Source organism: Homo sapiens, chromosome 2 (assembly GCF_000001405.40).
Source record: "Homo sapiens chromosome 2, GRCh38.p14 Primary Assembly".
Lineage (NCBI taxonomy): Eukaryota > Metazoa > Chordata > Mammalia > Primates > Hominidae > Homo > Homo sapiens.
The window spans coordinates 237,506,384-237,526,220 of record NC_000002.12 but is presented as its reverse complement, the minus strand read 5'-3'; the positions used below and the strand labels follow the sequence as shown (position 1 = coordinate 237,526,220).

General features: G+C 50.0%; 1 protein-coding gene, 1 non-coding gene and 2 pseudogenes across 20 annotated transcripts in view, besides 5 other annotated features; 2 read left to right on the top strand and 2 right to left on the bottom strand.

Moving 5' to 3' along the window:
• MLPH (melanophilin) overlaps positions 1 to 19,837 on the bottom strand; it is a 68,913-nt gene that overhangs the window by 29,102 nt on the left and 19,974 nt on the right. For 9 of the 19 annotated variants that reach the window (NR_104019.2, XM_017004893.2, NM_024101.7 and 6 more), the window contains exons 3-7: positions 15,426 to 15,647; positions 15,120 to 15,232; positions 7,573 to 7,682; positions 6,192 to 6,311; positions 416 to 620 (exon numbers count right to left, since the gene is read on the bottom strand). Coding sequence is in view for 18 of the 19 variants with exons in the window: in XM_017004893.2 (XP_016860382.1) it covers positions 416 to 620; positions 6,192 to 6,311; positions 7,573 to 7,682; positions 15,120 to 15,232; positions 15,426 to 15,647 (770 nt within the window). In the remaining variant the exon portion in view is untranslated. Of the gene's footprint in view, positions 1 to 415; positions 621 to 6,191; positions 6,312 to 7,572; positions 7,683 to 9,474; positions 14,929 to 15,119; positions 15,233 to 15,425; positions 15,648 to 19,837 lie in introns of those variants that run through there. The other 10 variants (XM_006712737.2, XM_047445809.1, XM_006712740.2 and 7 more) reach the window with 4 other exon arrangements.
• MTND4P40 (MT-ND4 pseudogene 40) lies at positions 2,292 to 2,628 on the top strand (annotated as a pseudogene).
• MTND5P46 (MT-ND5 pseudogene 46) lies at positions 2,872 to 5,536 on the top strand (annotated as a pseudogene).
• Positions 6,338 to 6,839: an enhancer, noted in NCBI's record as "H3K4me1 hESC enhancer chr2:238428025-238428526 (GRCh37/hg19 assembly coordinates)". NCBI's record gives its function as "activates a minimal SCP1, AML or CMV promoter by ChIP-STARR-seq in primed H9 embryonic stem cells {active_cell/tissue: H9 hESC(primed)}" and the evidence as "EXISTENCE:reporter gene assay evidence [ECO:0000049][PMID:30033119]".
• Positions 12,437 to 12,937: an enhancer, noted in NCBI's record as "H3K4me1 hESC enhancer chr2:238421927-238422427 (GRCh37/hg19 assembly coordinates)". NCBI's record gives its function as "activates a minimal SCP1, AML or CMV promoter by ChIP-STARR-seq in primed H9 embryonic stem cells {active_cell/tissue: H9 hESC(primed)}" and the evidence as "EXISTENCE:reporter gene assay evidence [ECO:0000049][PMID:30033119]".
• Positions 12,938 to 13,438: an enhancer, noted in NCBI's record as "H3K4me1 hESC enhancer chr2:238421426-238421926 (GRCh37/hg19 assembly coordinates)". NCBI's record gives its function as "activates a minimal SCP1, AML or CMV promoter by ChIP-STARR-seq in primed H9 embryonic stem cells {active_cell/tissue: H9 hESC(primed)}" and the evidence as "EXISTENCE:reporter gene assay evidence [ECO:0000049][PMID:30033119]".
• Positions 14,819 to 15,319: an enhancer, noted in NCBI's record as "H3K4me1 hESC enhancer chr2:238419545-238420045 (GRCh37/hg19 assembly coordinates)". NCBI's record gives its function as "activates a minimal SCP1, AML or CMV promoter by ChIP-STARR-seq in naive and primed H9 embryonic stem cells {active_cell/tissue: H9 hESC(naive and primed)}" and the evidence as "EXISTENCE:reporter gene assay evidence [ECO:0000049][PMID:30033119]".
• Positions 15,233 to 15,290, bottom strand: MIR6811 (microRNA 6811). The gene has a single exon (NR_106869.1). It is a non-coding gene; the product is annotated as a microRNA 6811 (primary transcript).
• Positions 15,320 to 15,820: an enhancer, noted in NCBI's record as "H3K4me1 hESC enhancer chr2:238419044-238419544 (GRCh37/hg19 assembly coordinates)". NCBI's record gives its function as "activates a minimal SCP1, AML or CMV promoter by ChIP-STARR-seq in primed H9 embryonic stem cells {active_cell/tissue: H9 hESC(primed)}" and the evidence as "EXISTENCE:reporter gene assay evidence [ECO:0000049][PMID:30033119]".

Sequence of the window (19,837 nt, the reverse complement as noted above, 5' to 3'; positions counted from 1 at the left end):
GTTCTCAGTGCTTAAAGATCTCCTGATCAACAGACTTGAACTGACTGTGGGCCAGCAGTGGCAATGCCCAGATGCCCATCCTGCCCAGACCAGGATGGTTGGCCGGTTGACCAGTGGTTCTAGTCATTTCAGGGAGGCCTGCATGTCCCACCCCAGGCTGGAAGCAGGGAGCTGTGGGCTGGCCACCTCCTGTGCTGGAAGTTCTGACAGTTACAGGGAAGCGCACATCCCGGTCCCGGGGACGGCAGGTGTCCACGGTGTTTGCTGGGACTGCACGTCCCGGACAATCACGCCAAAGGAAGGGGCCTTTCAAATCAGCCCGTGTGTTGGATAGGTCAGGGTGGTGGGGTTGTTCCTCAGTGACCTGCTCCCCCATGCCGAGCCCATCAGGAAGACCCTGGCCAAGGGCACCTACCGAGTGCAGCAGCAGTCCCCAGGGCCATCCTGTGGGAGCCTCCAGGCGGGCAGAGCTCAGCCAGGGCGCCGTGTCTGGAAGGTGAGATGCTGGTCGGCTGCTCTTCCGGATGGGAGTGGCACCCAGAGGCCCCAGTATCAGCCTCCTCCAGGCCCTCAGCCTTGTGAGGGGCTGCCTTCTCTGAGCAGGACTCATCTGTGAGGGACTAAGCACATGGGGCTGTCAGCCTCCTCTGCAGGGTTTACTAGGAGGGGCCGCTGCCTGGAATGTGGGTCTTTCAATCCAAGCCCTGAGGCTTTCCAGGCACTTGACTGACCCAGCACTAGGCACCCATCTGCGCTGGCCCCTGCCACTCAGTTCTGTTTAATTTCAAAGACTGTGCCTAAAGCATATATTGCCTATTTGTTGCCTACTGACTGCCTATTGCATGTGTCTGTGCAATGTTGGGGCCCCCAACGACACCCTGGGCCAGGCATGACACAAAGGGATCAAAACTCTCCTGACACAGCCTCAGGGGCTCAGACTCACCCAGAGACCAAAGCTCTGAGGACGTGGGCAGGGAAGTTAATATTTTTGGGAGAAGGGTGCACTGTTACTAACTATGTACACCTTAATCTTTGAAGATCAGAAAAGTGGGTTGGGGCTTCCTGGCAGCTCCTTGGCTGTAATCCGGACATCCCTCCAGCAGAGGGGTGTCTGTGTTATGTCATTGTCCCCAAGGAAAGGAGGTACTGAGGGCTTCAAGAAGCAATATGCCACAGCGCCCTTCCAGTTTGACTGTGAGTGGGGGGTGGAGGCCAGAGGAAATGCGCACTTAGGACAGCCTCCAGTTAGAGCAGGACCTGTGGCCCAGAAACCAATTGGCTGCTGGCTTCCAGGACCCACCCTGCTTCCCCCTCCTCCTGGAGGGGTCTTCAGACCGGCCTGGGTGGACCGAGCCCCGCCCCAGCTCTGGCTCAGCACTGCCTGTGCCCAGGGGATGCTGGGAATGGAGTTCAGAAGTTCACTATGAAGCCGGCCTTGGGCCTGGGCCTGGGCCTGGCTCTGTGCCCATAGTTACCTTCACTGCCTGCCTGTGAGTCTCATGCCTTCCAGGTACAGCATCTATGATGATTAGTAATGAGTGTCAACTTGATTGGATCGAGGGATGCAATATTGTTCCTGGCTGTGTCTGTGAGGGTGTTGCCAAAGGAGATTAACATTGGAGTCAGTGGGCTGGGGAAGGCACACCCAGCCTTAATCAAGTGGGCACCATCTAATCAGCCGCCAGTGAATATAAAGCAGACAGAAAAACGTGAAGCGACAAGACAGGCCTAGCCTCCCAGCCTACATCTTTCTTCTGTGCTGGATGTTTCCTGCCCTCGAACATCGGACTCCAAGTTCTTCAGTTTGGGACTCCGACTGGCTCTCCCTGCTCCTCAGCTTGAAGACAGCCTATCGTGGGACTCGTGATCGTGTAAGTTAATACTTAATAAACTCCCCTTTATATATATATATATATATTCTATTAGTTCTGTCCCTCTAAGAAAACCCTAATACAGCATCCTTGAAATGATCCTGTAGGGCGGAAATAATCAACTTGACACTGGCCCTAGTAACCGACACCTTACTAGCCCTATTACTACTAATAATCGCATTTCGGCTCCCGCAACTTAATATTTATATAGAAAAATCCAGCCCCTGTCAATGAGGATTTGACCCAATAGCCTCAGCCTGCCTCTCCTTTTCCATAAAATTCTACCTAGTAGCCATCACGTTCCTCCTGTTCGACTTAGAGATCACTCTACTACTACTCCTGCCATGAGCCCTTCAAACAACCCACCTGACACTAATAATCAGCACAGGCCTTGTATTAGTAACTATTTTAACCCTAGGCCGAACCATATTACTTACCCGAGGCCTTCAAACACTGCTCCCAGTAAATAGCCTCTTGATGACTTCTAGCAAATCTTACTAATCTTGCTTTACCCGCTATCAGTAATCTAGTAGGAGAACTCTTTGTGACTATGGCCTCGTTCTCCTGATCAACTATCACTGTTATGCTTATAGGACTTAATATACTAATTACAGCCCTTTACTCCCTATATATGCTAATCACAACACAACGAGGGACACTTGTATATTAACAGTATTAAACCTTCTTTACACGAGAAAATACGTTAATACTTATACATCTTGCGCCCATCTTCCTGTTATCCTTAAACCCTAAATTATGGGGTTTGCATGCTGTAGCTATAGTTTAACCAAAACATTAGATTGTGGACCTAACAATAGAAGCCTGCAACTTCTTATCTATGGAGAAAGTATGCAAGAGCTGCTAACTCATGCCCCTGTGTCTAACAACATGGCTTTCTCAGCTTTTAAAGGATTAGAGTTACCGTTGGTCTTGGGAACTAAAAACATTGGTGCAACTCCAAATAAAAATAGCAAACATGAATTATTCCGCTGCTATAACAGCCCTAATCCCCTTAATCTTACCAATTACTGTTACCTTAGCCAACCCCTGCAAAAAAGGTTCATACCCAAATTACATAAAAACATCTATCGCATGTGCCTTCATCATTACAGTCATCCCTACAACGATGTTTATATACACAGACCAAGAAGCCATTATCTCACACTGACAATCCAGACTCTCAAACCCTCACTAAGCTTCACACTAGACCACTTCTCCACAATATTTATCCCAGCAGCACTATTCATTATCCGATCTATTGTAGAATTCTCAATATGATATATAAACTCAGACCCAAACATTAATCAACTTTTCAAATACTTATTTTCCTCATCACAATATTAATTCTGGTTACCGCCTCTTTCAGCTCTTTATTGGATGAGAAGGTGTAGGACTCATGTCTTTCTTACTAATCGGCTGATGGTACAGCCGAGCAGATGCTAATACAGCAGCCCTCAAGCAGTCCAGTACAACCGCATCGGTGATATTGGCTTTATTTTAGCTATAGCATGGTTCCTCCTGTCCTCCAACACTGAGAATGTCAACACATATTTATTCCAGACCCCACCCCCAACCCCTTCCATTAATTAGCTTTCTCTTAGCAGCAGCAGGAAAGTCAGCTCAATTCGGCCTCCATCCCTGACTCCCATCCACCATACAAGGCCCAACCCCAGTCTCAGCCCTGCTCCGCTCCAGCACTATAGTTGCAGCAGGTGTTTGAAGGCCCAACCCCAGTTTCAGTTCTACTCCACTCCAGCACTATAGTTGTAGCAGGTGTTTCAAGGTCCAAGCCCAGTCTCAGCCCTGCTCCGCTCCAGCACTATAGTTGTAGCAGGTGTTTGAAGGCCCAACCCCAGTCTCAGCCCAGCTCCACTCCAGCACTATAGTTGTAGCAGGTGTTTGAAGGCCCAACCCCAGTCTCAGCCCTGCTCCGCTCCAGCACTATAGTTGTAGCAGGTGTTTGAAGGTCCAAGCCCAGTCTCAGCCCTGCTCCACTCCAGCACTATAGTTGTAACAGGTGTTTGAAGGCCCAACCCCAGTCTCAGCCCTGCTCCGCTCCAGCACTATAGTTGTAGCAGGTGTTTGAAGGTCCAACCCCAGTCTCAGCCCAGCTCCACTCCAGCACTATAGTTGTAGCAGGTGTTTGAAGGCCCAACCCCAGTCTCAGCCCTGCTCCGCTCCAGCACTATAGTTGTAGCAGGTGTTTGAAGGCCCAACCCCAGTCTCAGCCCTGCTCCGCTCCAGCACTATAGTTGTAGCAGGTGTTTGAAGGCCCAACCCCAGTCTCAGCCCTGCTCCGCTCCAGCACTATAGTTGTAGCAGGTGTTTGAAGGTCCAACCCCAGTCTCAGCCCAGCTCCACTCCAGCACTATAGTTGTAGCAGGTGTTTGAAGGCCCAACCCCAGTCTCAGCCCTGCTCCGCTCCAGCACTATAGTTGTAGCAGGTGTTTGAAGGTCCAAGCCCAGTCTCAGCCCTGCTCCACTCCAGCACTATAGTTGTAGCAGGTGTTTGAAGGCCCAACCCCAGTCTCAGCCCTGCTCCGCTCCAGCACTATAGTCATAGCAGGTGTTTGAAGGCCCAACCCCAGTCCCAGCCCTGCTCCACTCCAGCACTATAGTTGTAGCTGGAGTTTTCCTGCTCATCTGCTTCTACCCTTCAATAGAAAAGAATCTATCAATCCAAACCTTTACATTCTGTCTGGCGGCTGTTACTACCATACTCACAGCAATCTATGCTCTAACACAAAATGATATCAAAAAACATCGCATTCTCCAACTCAAGTCAGCTGGGCCTTATAATAGTCACAATTGGCATTAATCAGCCACACCTAGCATTCCTTCACATCTGCACCCACGCCTTTTTAAAGCTATATTATTTATAGGTTCAGGGTCCATCATCCATAACATCAATGATGGATGAACAAGACACCTGAAAAATAGGAGGGCTATTCAAGACTCTACCCCTCACCTCCTCCTCCCTTGTTATCAGCAGCCTTGCACTTACAGGCATGCCTTTCCTCACAGGCTTTTACTCCAAAGACCTCATCATGGATACCGCAAGCCCATCATACAGCAATGCCTGAGCCCTTTCTATTACTCTTATTGCCACCTCCTTAACAGCTGTCTATAGTACCCATATTGTTTTCTTCGCTCTAATAGGACAACCTCGCTACACGACTCTGGTTACTATTAACAAAAATAACCCCTTCCTAATTAACTCAATTAAGCATCTAACAATCGGCAGCATCTTTGCTGGATTCCTCATCACCAACAGTATTATTCCTGCTTCATTCCCCCAAACAACCATACCACTCCACCTGAAGCTCGCAGCCCTAGGTGTAAACACCTTAGGCTTCTTGCTAGCAATGGAGCTTAATCTCATAACTAATAACCTTAAACTAAAATACCCATTACAGATATTTAACTTCTCCAACATACTAGGATTTTATTCAGCCACAATTCACCATACAACCCCCAACTCAAGGCTATTCACAAGCCAAAATCTGGCTTCACTTCCAAACCTAATTTAACTAGAAAAGTCTATACCAAAGACCTTTATGCAAACCCAAATTTCAGCCTCCATTACCGTATCTACTCAGAAAGGCCTGATTAAACTCTACTTTCTCTCTTTTTTTATCCCATCCCTTCTAATCCTACTCCTAATTATCTAATCTATTATCTTGAGTAATTTCAATTGCAACATAAATACTAACAAATAATAATCAACCAGCAACTACCACTAATCAGCCCTTGAAGAGGTTCCAGGGACAAAGGCCACACAGCTAATGAGTAAGGCGGCCACATGTCCTGTTCACCTGGATGGCCCCTGCGCATGCCCTGTGTCTAGGTGTGATCATTAATAGCTGCCAGCATCACAGGACTGTCCTAGTTTGGGCAATAAAGTGTATGTTCCCCTCCCAGTAAGACGGAGATGTAGGCATCACAGCAGGCCCTGCCTGACTCCACCTCAGATGCCCTTCTCTGTCCCGCCCTCCTGAGTCTCGGGGGTTCTGCCTTATTTCTGTCCCAAGCACCGATCCCTGGGCCCCAACTCATCTGTCCAGTCTCAGGGCCCTGCATCGCCCCCTGCTTCTCCAAGCTGCCTGCTCATATCTCCAGACATGCTAATCCTGGGGGAGTGTGAGGTCTCTGGATCCTGTCTTCCCACATCGGTCCCCTTCCCTGTCATGCCTTGGGAGCCAGGTGGGACTGTGTGGCCATCAGACACTGCTTCCAGAGTGCTGTCCCTCACCTGGGGCCTGAGCACCTGCCACTCAGGTTCCTGGGAGGGGCAGGGGAAAGACACGAGGACCCACTGACCTGTGGGCTGTCCCTGGCCTCAGGGACTGAGGACAGGTGCAGGGAGTGACCTTGAGGCTGAGTGGAGTCATCTGAGTCTCCCTCGAAGTCGAAGTCGTGGACGGAGAGGAGGCGCTTTTTCTTAGCAGGCACAAGACAGGGCAAGACTCAAGTCAGGGCTAGCTTGAGGGAGAGGACCAAATACCCTGCACCTCCCCAACCCCACACTCAGCCCCCAGAGGGGCGGGGCAGGCTCCTCTCCCAGCACATCCACCCCCTCCACTAGGAACAAACCTGACCAAGCCCAGAGGGGGAGCTGGTTGGGGGACTGGTTGGTGCTCACGGTGCCCATCCCACCCAGGATACAGGATCTGCATCTCCAGAAACTTGGCTGAGCTGAAGGAACACTGAGCTGAACCCCTGCACTTGCCCCAGGGACCCCGCCTAGGGGGCAGGCAAGCTGTTCCAGGGCTGGGAGAGGGGCGGGTCCCTGGGGCTTCGGATAGCCGGGGCACGATGGCTGAGTGAGACAGAGGTGGGCAAGCTCCTGATAGTTCCTTGTTCTTTAGATGTAAGAGCCTGCATTTAGTTCTAAACCCCTATTTCATTATAATTCTTTTGATCCTTTAAACTGCTCTATCATGTAGGGAATACTCCAGGCACTGCAGAGCATTCTGGGAACTTCATAAATAGCATGAATCAAATGTTCTCAAACGAAAGATGATGACGTTCCCCTCACAGCAGCCGCAAAGAGTTGGTTCATGTTGAATGTCACTGGCCCATTTCTCTCCAAGCATCTAAGTCTGAACCCCTGCTCACCTACCCAGCCCCTTCTTCCAGCTGCTTCCCCTTCTTGCTTCCCACCCCAAAACCCAGGTGTTACCTCGTTTGTCTCGCCCACCCAAAATAAGTTAAACAATACGTGAAAACAGAAACACAAGGCTCATGGTTGGCAAAAAAAAACAAACAAAACAAAACAAAACCCAGAAGGAGAAAAGGTCTTAGAGGAGAGCCTGAGGGGTCCACTTCTCTGAAAGTTGCAAAGGCAGCTGCTCTCAGGACCCTCGAGAGCCCTCCAGGACCCCTGCCTGTCCTACAGCAGTCCCCTGCACTCACTACACCCGTGTGCCCCCAGACTCTGGCCACACACTCAGTAGGCTTTGCCCATCACACAGATTGCTTTTGAGGTTTCTGATGGTGGAAGCACTGCTCCTGCCTGGTGCCCAATGATCTCAGAGACTACTGAGGCCTGGGAAAGGGCAGCAGATTCTTGGTGCTCATGCAGTAGAAACTAGTGGAGTTGTGGAGAGGCCATCAAGGTTTTCAGGAAATCAGAACCTGACGTCCCAGCTGCGGGATGGAATCGAGGTGGCTGAGGAGGGGGTGGCTGGAGATGACTTACTTTGCTGCCAAAGGGCTGGGCCTGGGCCTGGGCCTCTGAGCCAGGTTCTCCATCCTCATCTGTCTGGTCGCTGTCTCCACTTCTCTCTTCAGATATCAGTTCAGGCCCAGCTGCAATAGATACCTGCATGACTCCACCCAAGGACAAACAGTCTGGGAACAAGCCATTTGTCAGCCCATCCACCCATCCATCCACTAATCTATCCATCTACCTGCCCATCCCTCCCTCCTTCATCCATTCACCCACCTATCCACACAGCAATGTATCCCTCCATCTACCCATCTACCAATCCACCCATCCCCCTATTTATCAATCTATTCATCTATTCACCTACCCACCCACCCATTTATCCACTCATCCACCTACTCAATGGGCAGCCCATCCATCCATGCATCAATCCATCCACCCACCCATACACCCACCTATCTATCCTCCACCCATCTATTCATCCACCCATCCACCCACTCAATCAGTGGCTCATCCATCCATGTATTCACCTACCCACCCATCCATCCATCCATCCCTCCATCCCTCCTTCATCCACCCACTCATCATCAATCCATCTATACATCCATCTACCCAATCAATCAGTGGCTCATCCACTCACCCACCCATCCACCCCTCCCTCCTTCATCCATGCACCCACCCATCAATCGATTTATCCATCCATCCACTCAATCAATCAGTGGCCCATCTATCCATCTACCTACTCATCCACCTACCCATCTACCTACTTATCCGCCTACCCATCTGCCCATCCACCTACCTATCCATTTATTCATCCATCCATCCACCTACCACCCATGCCTCTCTCCTTCATTCATCTACCCATCCATCCAGCTGCCCACTCATCCACCCACCAATGCACCCATCCATTTACTTATCCATCCATCCATCCATCCATCCATCCATCCATCCACCCACTTACTTATCCATCCATCCATCCATCCATCCATCCATCCACCCATCTACCCACTCATTCACCTACCCATCCACCCCTCCACCTGCCTATCCATCCATTCATCTATCCATCCACCCACCACTCATCCCTCCCGACTTCATCCATCTACCCATCCACCCAGCTGCCCATCCACTCACCAATGCATTCATCCACTCAGACATCTATTTATCCATCCACTCAGACATCTATCCATCTATCCACCCATCCACTTATCTATCTATCCATCCATCCATCCATGCATCCATCCATCCACCTATCCACTCACCCACCCATCCATCCATTGACCCACCTACCACCTTATCTGCCCATCCATCCACCTATCCACCTACCTATCTATCCGCCCATCCACCTACTTATCCATCCATCCATCCATCCGTTCATCCATCCATCCATGCATCCATGCATCCACCCATCTATCCACTCATTCACCTACCCATCCACCCCTCCGCCTACCTATCCATCCATTCGTCTATCCATCCACCCACCACTCATCCCTCACTCCTTCATACATCTACCCAGCTGCCTACCCATCCACCCACCAATGCATTCATCCACTCAGACATCTATTTATCCATCCACTCAAACACCTATCCATCTATCCACCCATCCACTTACCTATCCATCCATCCACCCATCCACTTACCTATCCATCCATCCATCCATCCATCCATCCATCCATCCATCCATCCACTCACCTACCACCTTAGCTGCCCATCCATCCACCTATCTATCCACCTATCCACCTATCCATCCATCCATCCATCCATCCATCCTACCATCCATCCATCCTACCATCCATCCTACCATCCATCCACCCATCCATCCATCCTATCATCCATCCATCCATCCATCCATCCTACCATCCATCCATCCATCCATCCATCCATCCATCCATCCATCCATCCATTCATCTCTCCCTCTCCCACAATCCATCTACTCACTGAGAAACATCCAGCGAAGGCTCTCTGCTGGCCTTTCGTATACCTATCCAAACATCACTTAGAGCTGGTCTGAATTACAGTATAAAAACCGGTAATCTGCATCAACATTACCAATCAGTTGCCAATGTTACCAATCAATGTTACCAACAGGTCTGACCATGTCTGCAGGATTGTGCTTATTGGGCAGTAGGAAGACCCTGGAGCTGTGGAGTGTGAATGAGGCCTAGAGCTAAGTCATGTTCTCCCAAACACATGGTTTCACCTGCAGGCTCATAGCATTTGCTGGTCAGCAGGCCTGACCTCATCACTACAGGAAGGGAGGTGAGGCCCAGCCCTCATGCCCCCTCTCCTTTCTCTGCCCCCCAGGGCTCCTTCCTCACACTGACCTCCTGGGCCTGGCCTCCCTAGCACAGCCCCACCGTCTCTCCCTCCTTTCTCCTACTGACCTTGGCTTGGCCGGTGCTGTGGCTGTGGCAAGTGATTTAGGAAAGGGACCCCAGGGTTTAGAGCCAGCAGGCCCCGTGGACCATCCACCTTTCTACTCCAGGGGCTGAGGGCACAGCTGGCACTGTGGAGGTCAGATCCTCTGGGCCCAGCCAGGCCTTGCTGCCCCTGGACACCCTTGCCCTGGGACCTGCCCCTTGCTCTCTGTGCCTCACGGGTCACAGGTGTGAACAAGCAGGCATTGGTGCATTGGAGTGTGCATTGTCAACTGCAAAGGGAAGCAGGACTGCGGGTGCAGGGCCCAGGGTGGCCTCAGAGCCACCTTCACTCTCTGCTCTGTGATGTGGGAGCTGGCCCTGCACACCACACCTCTGCCTTGCCTGCTCCTCTGTGAGGGCTCGGCTCGCAGTGAGTGAGAGTGGGAAAAGGAAGGAGAAGGAATGTTCCCCTTCCTGTGGCTTCCAGCACCAAGCCCTTGACCCTGACAGCTGGTCCAGCTTCATCACGGCCCCTGAGACATGGGCACCAGTGGGCAGCACCCCTGCCTTGGAGGGCTGGGTCCCACCCCTGGGTGGCCTCCTTGGAGCTGCCTGTTTCTATTAATCCCAGCCTCTGCCCTTTGCTTGCACCCCTGGTAGTTGTGGGGGATGCAGGCACTCCTGCAGTTATGACCTCTGATACCTCAGTATCTCCTTTTCCCATTCTCAGTTAACAGCATTTCAACCAGTTCCTTATGTGAAACGACCGCGTGGTTTCTGTTTTAGACATTTCCCTGACTGGCCCACCTGTGATCCCCGTGGGGATCCTATCCTCATCTCTCGGGCCTGGGGCCCCTCTGCAGGAAACTCCTCCCTTGTGGTTTTCACTCCCAGAGGCACAAGTGTCCCTATTCACTGGACTGGCTGTGCTGACTGTCCCCAAGTGGGGACAGCAGGGCCTGGCTCTTCCACAGCACTACCCTCAGGACAGCCCAGGACCCGGCACCTGGCGAGCATTCGGCGGATGTACTCAATCAATCACCGACGCATCTTCCAAAGCCTCCTGCGAGATGGAGACCTCACTGTGCACCTCCTTTCATCCGCCCCCGAGTGCCGTACACCCTCCTCCGTGATGTCCACACCAGCTTACAATTCTACCATCGACTGGGCCTTGGGAAGCTCTGGGTTCTCAGGCTCTGTCCTGAGCCAGCAGTGATCTTTTACATGGGTTGGAAAATTAAGTCTCATTGTACAGTTTTCCATTTATAATACAGAGATAGAAATAGTCAACCAGTTGGCAAAACTGGAAATCTGAACGACGGACTTTATAACAAACAGCTGAGATCAGGTGACAAGCACACGCTGTTACTGCCTGTCCTGCCTGAAGCTGCCACTGCCATTCACTGCTTTGCTGCCTGTTTAGGAATGTCTGGGAAGATGCTGGGGTGAGTCAAGGGGACCGGCTGCCTGCCTGGGCTCAGAGGGCCTCAGTTTCCCCAGTGGAAGGAAAGATGGGGGAGGCAGCATGGTACATTTTTTACTTAAATCTTTCTCTTAAAGATAAAAGCTGTCAAGGGTTTTAAAGGGGCCTGCAGGTGCCCGTGTCTGAGCTCTGACAGGTCTATTTTTACACACTCAGCGGATGCCTGCCTGGCTGGCAATGCTGCTGGGGCTCAGAAAACAATGCCCCAAATGAGGGCCTCAGCAGCAGCCTCAGAAGCAAAGTTTCTCTCTGACCTTCTCCTGCCCTCTTGTCTCTCAGGCCCATTCTTCCCCAAGGCCAGCCACAGAAACTAGAATCCCTCTTCCCCAAGGCAGGACATAGAAACCAGTATCCCTTTCTCCCAAAGCCAGCCATAAAACATACAAATATCACTCTTTCCCTCTACTTTTCTGTGTAAAAACTAGCCATAAAGAAATTATCTGGCTGGGCATGCACGGTTTATGCTTGTAATCCCAGCACTTTGAGAGGCCCAAGTGGGAGGACTGCTTGAGCCCAGGAGTTCAAAACCAGCCTGGGCAACATAGTGAGAACCCATCTCTAAAAAAAAACATTAAAAATAAAAAAAGAAATTATCTGACCTTCCTTGTTTGACTTTAGGTCATAAGACCCTCACTCCAGAGAGCATCCCGCCCCATTCTCGGAGGAGGAAAGGCCAAGAAGAATCCAGGCAGACAGACCTTGCTAGGTTCCCCACTCAGCCTATTAGCAGCAGGTCCGGCCTTGTTATATAATCTTCTTTCCACACGCAGTCCACCCTTTCTTGAACCTAAGCATAAAAATGGACAATTTCCCTGCATCTGTGGGTCTGTATTCTGAAGGCTCCCATGTATACACGGTAAACACATTTCTAAATCTTTTGTCCAATGAATCTGCCTTTTACGAGATGATTTTTCAGTGAACTTTCAGAAGGTCAAGGCTTTTGGCTCCGAACGTGCCCAGATGACAGAGCCAGAGAGCAGACCTGGTTTTATTTTTGTTCTCTCTGGACAGTGAGTGCCTTGAGGAGACGCATCCCAAACCAACAGGCAGAGACCCCGTGAACTCCCCCTGCACCCAGGGATGCGGAAATGAGCTTTCTGGGGCCTGGGGACCCACCTGTCAGGGTGATGTCCCCGGCCCCCACAATGAACATGAAGAGGAAGTATCCCAGGATCTCAGGGATCCTTTTAGTGTTGGTCCCTTTTGTCACTCTGCACTTGGGCCAAGGGGGCAACATTATCCTACCTATCTGATCAAGTCATGCTAAAAAAAAGAAAAAAACCAAAAAAATTCCAAAAGATTTTCCTTGTTCCTGACATGGAACAGAGATTTTCTGACCACTCTTGATAGGAGAAAACAAAAATAAAACCACATGAGCATAAAGAACCTAGTGTTGACGTCAGGCGAGGTCTGCACTGTCAGGCAAAGCTACCACCGAGGGAAAGAGGGAAAGGCACTGGAAGGGAAGGCACGGGGGTAGGGGGACTGGGTGCCCAGCGACCAGTCCAGGGGTTTTCCCTTCCTTTCTTGGCCATCGGCCATCGAAGCTGCTTCCTGCAGAGCCTGCCGCGTCCTCTATGGAAGGCCTTGGTGAAACACCAGCACTCTGAAGGTTCACTCAATGAAGACCCCCAGAGGCCCACTTACTAGCTGGACAAGGTCTGCATTAGGCCCTGGCTGGGTCAGGTTTCAAAACATTAACCTTAAGCTTTTTTACCCTCCTTTTTTTTTTTTTTTTTAAAGGCACAGCTTTCCCAGTGTTTGTGTTCCTTGCTTGCGCCCTGTTTTAATGTTGTAGTTACAGGTGTCCAGCAGGGAGGAATGCAGCCCCTGTGGGCGCTTGGGGGAGCTGCTGGGAATCCAAGTTCAAGGAGCAGCTGTTTTCTGTTTTCTGTTGCCCCACAGCGCCACCTCCTGGCCCCTTGGTGGTGATGATTTTGAAGTCAGCAGGTTCTGGTGGGCCGTGTGAACTCCAGCAGCTCTGGGCTGAGCTGTGGAAACACTGCGTCCTTTGAAATAATACAGCTTCCTGAGCCCACCCCAGTCCCTAAAGACTGCCTCTGGGGTTGAGATTCTGAGATGCTTGACAGCATGGCTTTTCCCGGTGTTATGTGTCGTTTCTATCCTTAAGCCTGTTAGGGGTGGACTGGAGGCTGGACCAAGCTCCACTGGCTGCAGGAGGACCCTTCTGTGGGCTCCAGGCTGGCCGTGTGCGTGTGGGGAGGTGGGATTTGCTGCTAGGCTTCATGATCACTGTGAAGAAGCAGCCCCCAAGAATAGGGTGATAGGCCCTCCCCATGTCACCGGCCGTTCCTAGTCACATCTGTTGTTGCAGCATGTTATCAGTAGAGCCTCCTTTTACTCTTAAAAATGCCCTGGTTTGGATGATTGATCATACCTGCCCCCATCCCCACCCCACCACCCAAAAAGTGCAGCCACCCTGTGGTGTGCGGTGTACTGCTCCAGCGGTGCCTCTCCGTGGCCTCTGTCCTAAATTAAACGATGGGCTAAGATGCCTTGAAATGCCTGCAGCAGGCCCGGCGAGAGCTTGAATGCTCAAAGGTGTCTATGCCAACTTCTGCTTCTTCAATCAAACTTGAGGCTTTAAGAGACAGGCACGAATAAGGTGTCTCTCCAGAAGGAAGGCCTGGGGGAGACGCCTGGGCTGGGGCATGGTGAGGACGCCCCAATCCAGAAGCACAGCCTCTGCCCTGGACGTGCCCAGCTGCCGGAGCCAGGCGCTGCCTCGTGGCCCTGGAGAAACTCGCCTTGGTCTTGCAGATGGAGTCATCCAGGACACTGAGACCCCAGACACCTGGCTTGGTGGCGGCTGTCCCACCCGAATGCTTGGCCGGGCTTAGTGGCAGAAGCCTTGGACTCCAGGTAACAGGGACAAGGTGAGCTTTCTCAAAAACACTGATGGGTTAGCTCCCTTCAAACTCAAATGCAAAAGACCCCCCGGCATCCTCCCACCCTCTCCCTGAAAAGATCTCTTCCAAATGCCTTATGGGGGATCTTACAGGCGAACACATTGTTTAGTTTAAGCCTACTGCCTGGATTTCAAATTCATCATGAAATAAATACTTGGATTCAAAAGATGAAAACAACTGAATTACAACAGATTTCTCTAAATCTTGATAATCACCAGATTCATGTGAAATGTTTGTTGAAAAGAGAGAGCCTAGGCCCCAAACCAGATGTCCCAGGGAAGAAGGGCTTGGAAAACATGTAGTATTAACAAGCACCCTGGTGATTCAATCAGCAGCTGGGTTTCAGAAACTTGGCTTTGAGTTCTCAACTTACTTTGAAGATTTGAAAACAATATAATTTCAAATATTGGCAACTTCAGCAGCACCCAGGACTTCTGAGGTGCTCAGACCAGGCCAGTGGGATGCAGAGGTTTGCACCTCACATAAAAAGGAGCCAATTTCACAGGGCACAGTGGCTCACACTTATAACCCCAGCACTTCGGGAGGCTGAGGTGGGTGGATTGCTTGAGCCCAGGAGTTCGAGGCCAGTCTGGGAAACATGGTGAGATGCCTGTCTCTACAAAAATTAAAAAAAAAAAAAAAAAGCAGCCAGAAGCAGGAATTCACAGAGAGGCATGTGCATGCACACACATGTGCACACACACATGCACACACACACGTACACACACACATGCACACTCCAAAGGAACCTGCTTTAATATTCCTAAAATGCCTGGGAACAAAAAGCCGTTCTTACTCTCCACTCCTTACCTCCACCCTGCAGCCGCCCGTGGAGGGACCGGATGACCTTGGCACTTCCGAACCTCTTGAAGCGGGCTTTCACATGCTCATAGTACCACTCCAGTGAGCCGATCTTCACGACTCTGCAGGGACAAGCACAGGCTCATGGCACTGCCTGAGTGCTGTACACAGGCCTGCATAAATCTCACACACACACACACACACACACACGAGTGTGTGCATGTGTGCGTCCACCCTTCTTCAGCTAGCCCCATGGAAGGGACACGCCAGATCCAGAAACTATCAAGGTCATTTTACCTCAAGGCCTGGGCTCACCTGGCCAGATGGCAGGGGTCACAGATCCAGCCCTGCTCCTCCGGGTGGACGCGGCCACAGCTTTTGCAGGTGAAGAGGCCACATTCCAGGCACTGCCTTTTGCTATTCACAAGCAGCTGGTAGGGCTGCAGGCAGCGGGCGCAGTGGGTCTCGTTCAGATGGGCAGTGTCGGAAAGCAGCTCCCTCTTGGAGCTTTCCTTCTTAATCTTGCCCTTCAACGCCCTTGGGAAAATATCAGAAACAAGAAATATATTGGGCATCTTGTTTTTGCAACAGGCTTTAAGTGTGTACACGTACATACACACACACACAGACACAGACACATACACACACACAGTAACTGTCTCCTATGCAGAAAACAGTGACCCAACGTTGGGCAAAGCCACACAGGCATCTTTGTTTTGAGGGCTGAGCTCAAACGGGCAATTTTGGTGGCTGGAATGGAATGGAAACACGTTAATTTCATAGAAATGATATTGCATTTAAGCATTTCTGTGGCTGTTTACAATTGTACCAATTTTGGTTGGCAGGTCACTGCGCCCTCCCCAGGGCAGTCACAGAATCCTGGGGGCAAAGCCAGATGGTGTTTCCTGATCAAGCATTGTTTTGGTCTCCTTCAGCAGGGGGGCAAGAGTTGAGCTAACGCCCCAGGTTTGCTCCTCTAGAGCGCAGCTGAAATGGCTCGGTGAGTTTCCAGAGCAGGAATCATCTAGCACCCGGAAGTCTACAGTTCTCCTAGACCATCCGAGTTTAAATAACACAGCTTCCTGGTGAACCTGCCAAGTTGAACTGATTGGAAAGTGTATCCTTAGATGATAATGAACACATTTCTTTTGTTCTAGATTTCAGAGAATGTCTGCCAAACGTAATATTTTCAGTTTCAGATGAGATAAAATTAATCCATTCTTAGTGACAAAAACAAGAAGGACACTAGGTGCCATTGTCTTCTGAGAACTCTGAAGCACACTGATTTGGAGGCGGACACCCAGAGTGCAGCAAAGGTGAAGAGAGTGGAGGAGTCCCACCAGGCAGGGGGAGGCCACCTCCGGTTTCAAGTGCAATTGGCTGAACTTCACGATTTTCCTCTCTCCACTATTTACAAAAATGTTCACTGAGATGGACACGAAATCAGGCTCTTGTCATAGCTTCAAAAACCAAGAGAAAAAGGGTCAAGCAGTTGTAGGAATCTAGGGGGATACCGCCATCCACAGACTACAGTTTAGATAAAGCTGCATTGACAAGGTAAAGTCTTTGTCCCAAACAGAGGAGCACAAGTCCCTGGAGCCAGATGGGAAGGGCCTCACTCCCTCCATTTCCACCCTTGCCAGCTCTGCACCAACCAGAAAACCTGGAGGCCACCCCTTCGCTGGACAGGGCTTGTTAGCCTCTGTCCCAGGGAGAACCTCTTCTTCTGTATCCAGGCAGAACGGTACCCTGAGGGCCAGCACAGCAGGAAGAAAGACAAGGACATGTGTACTGCCCTGCATTCCAGGCTGGAGGAGTCCTCTTAAATAAGAGCCCAGAAGTGTCCTGGGGCAGCAGCTGGAGGCTGATATATTTCAGAGGCTGAAATTAGGGGAAAGGAGAACTGTACTGTGCTTTAGATTCTTTAAAACATAACTTCCCTTCTTCATAGCCAGAGACCAGGAAGGGAGGGCAGAGAAGACTCCATTTGGGGAGACCAAATGACATCTGCCAGCCACTCCAGGACGTATCAACAAGACCCGGAGCTTCCGATCCTGAGGAGTGAATGGGGCCAGAGCACTCCATGCACTCTGCTAATTGGGTTGACCAGAAGTCACTCCTCAACAGGCAAGAGCCCGGCACGTGGCTCCAATTTAAAGTTAGCTTCAGGAATAAAAGACCCTCCTGAATGTGACTTACCATCAGAAACAGACTCGAAACAAGTCAGCTTGGTGTGCTGAATGGGGCATAAGCAAGTACGTGCAGTCTCAATGAGAGGGACAGAGGAGACACAGGAGGAAACCAGGCTGAGATGGGAGCACCACCGGCTATGCTGGTGGAGGTGGAGAAGAACTGGTTAAGACAGAGATGGCGAGAAATCACAGCTCACAATGGAGGGGGAAATGGGCACAATTTCTACCGTGGAATATTAGATCCAATGATTTCGAAGAGTGGTCTTCAAAGTGTGGTCCAGGGACCTCTCTTCTGGAGGTTCCTAAGATCCTTTAGGGGGGTGAGTCACAAGGCCAAAGCTATTTTTGTAATAATGCTGAGACATCATTTGCCTTTTCTTTGCTCTTTGATGCCTGCACTGAAGGTGTAAAAACAATGGTGGATAAACTGCTGAGGCTTTAGCACGAGTCAGGGCAGTGGGCCCAACTGCTCTGACAGTCATTAGATCCTTCATTGAAAAAGAAATGAGCTGGGTGCAGTGGCTCACACCTGTAATCCCATCACTTTGGGAGGCTGAGGAAGGTGGATCACCTGAGGTAAGGAGTTCAAGACCAGCCTGGCCAACATGGTGAAACCCCGTCTCTACTAAAAATACAAAAATTAGCCAGGCACAGTGGTGGACACCTGTAATCCCTGCTACTCAGGAGGCTGAGGCAGGAGAGTCGCTTGAACCAGGGAAGCAGAGGTTGCAGTGAGCCGAGATTGTGTCACTGCACTCCAGCGTGGGTGACAGAGTGAGATTCTGTCTCAAAAAAAAGAAAAAGAAATGAGAAGAAAAAACAGTTTCATTAAAGAATCACCTTGATGAAACCCTAAAAGTTATGAGTCTTTTTGAACCGTGGCCCCCAGTCCATGTCTTTTGAGGATTCTGCCTGATGAGCTTGGAGGAGGACAGGAAGCTCTTGTGCCACGTGTTGAAGGTGACAGATATTTCTATTAAAAGGATTGGGCAATTGTTCCGATCGCCACCTGAGCTAGAAACTTTTCTTATGAAATAGCATTTTCACTTGAGAGAACAACAGAGAGATGAACTGTTTCGACTTGGGTACTTGGCAGATATTTTCTCAAAAATGAACAAAGTGCGACTCTCACTTCAAGGAAAAGAAGTGACAGTATTTATTGCCAGTAATAAAACGGAAGCTTTCAAGCACAAAGTAGAATTCTGGAAAACATATATCGCCTGCTGTGAGCTTGACAGTTTGCAACACTGGGAGACTTTTGATGAGGGTTTCCAACACCGGGAGACTTTTGATGAGATCGCTGGTGAGAGTAACAGAAGTGGTTCTCTTTTGGTGTGCATATGAAATGTGTCAACATTTGAGAAGTCTGCATCACTCAGTGAGCCGGTGTCTTCCAAATGATTAATGCATGGTGTTACAAAAATCACACAGGGGTAGAAAATCCACTTCAAGTGCAAGAGAGACCAATGGATTTGAACAAACAGAAAAGGAAAAGTTCATTAACATGGTTTCAGATTCCACATCACAACTAACCTTTAAGAAACTACCAACTGGCCGGGCGCAGTGGCTCATGCCTGTAATTCCAGCACTTTGGGAGGCTGAGGCAGGCAGATCACTTGAGGTCAGGAGTTTGAGACTAGCTCGGCCAATGTGGTGAAACCCTGTCTCTACTAAAAATGCAAAAATTAGCCAGACATGGTGGCACGCACCTGTAGTCACAGCTACTTAGGAGGCTGAGGCAGGGGAATCGCTTGAACCTAGGAGGTGGAGGTTGCAGTAAGCCGAGATTACGCTACTGCACTCCATCCAAGGGTGGCAGAGAGAGACTTTGTCTCAAAAAAAAAAAAAAAAAAAAAGAAAAAAAAAAGAAAAAGGAAAAAAACTACCAACTCCAACTGCCGGGTTTTCATGTTGTAACAACACATGATGTTAATTATTGTCTACAAAGGCTATTCAAGTACTCCTTTTTTCAATTATGTATCTGTATGAGCCTAGATTTTCTTCAAATACTACAGCCTAGAAAACATGTTACGACCCACTGAATGCAGAAGCAAGTGGAGAATTCACCCATCTTCTATTGTTCCAGATAAGGGAGGAGACCACCCCTCATATTGTCTTATGCCCAATTTCTGCCTCCAAAGAAAAAAGAAGTAAAAACTAAAAGGCAGAAATGAAATCCACAGGCAGACAGCCCAGCGCCACACCCTGGGCCTGGTAGTTAAAGATCGACCCCTGACCTAATCAGTTATGTTATCTATAGATTACAGACATTGCACGGAAAAGCATTGTGAAAATCCCTGTCCTGTTCTGTTCCATTCTAATTACTGGTGCAGGTGCATGTAGCCCCCAGTCACGTACCCCCTGCTTGCTCAATCGATCATGACCCTCTCACATGAACCCCCTTAGAGTTGTAAGCCCTTAAAAGGGACAGGAATTGCTCACTCGAGGAACTTGGTTTTTGGAGACGTGAGTCTGCCGATGCTCCCAGCTGAATAAAGCCCTTTCCTTCTACAATTCGGTGTCTGAGGAGTTCTT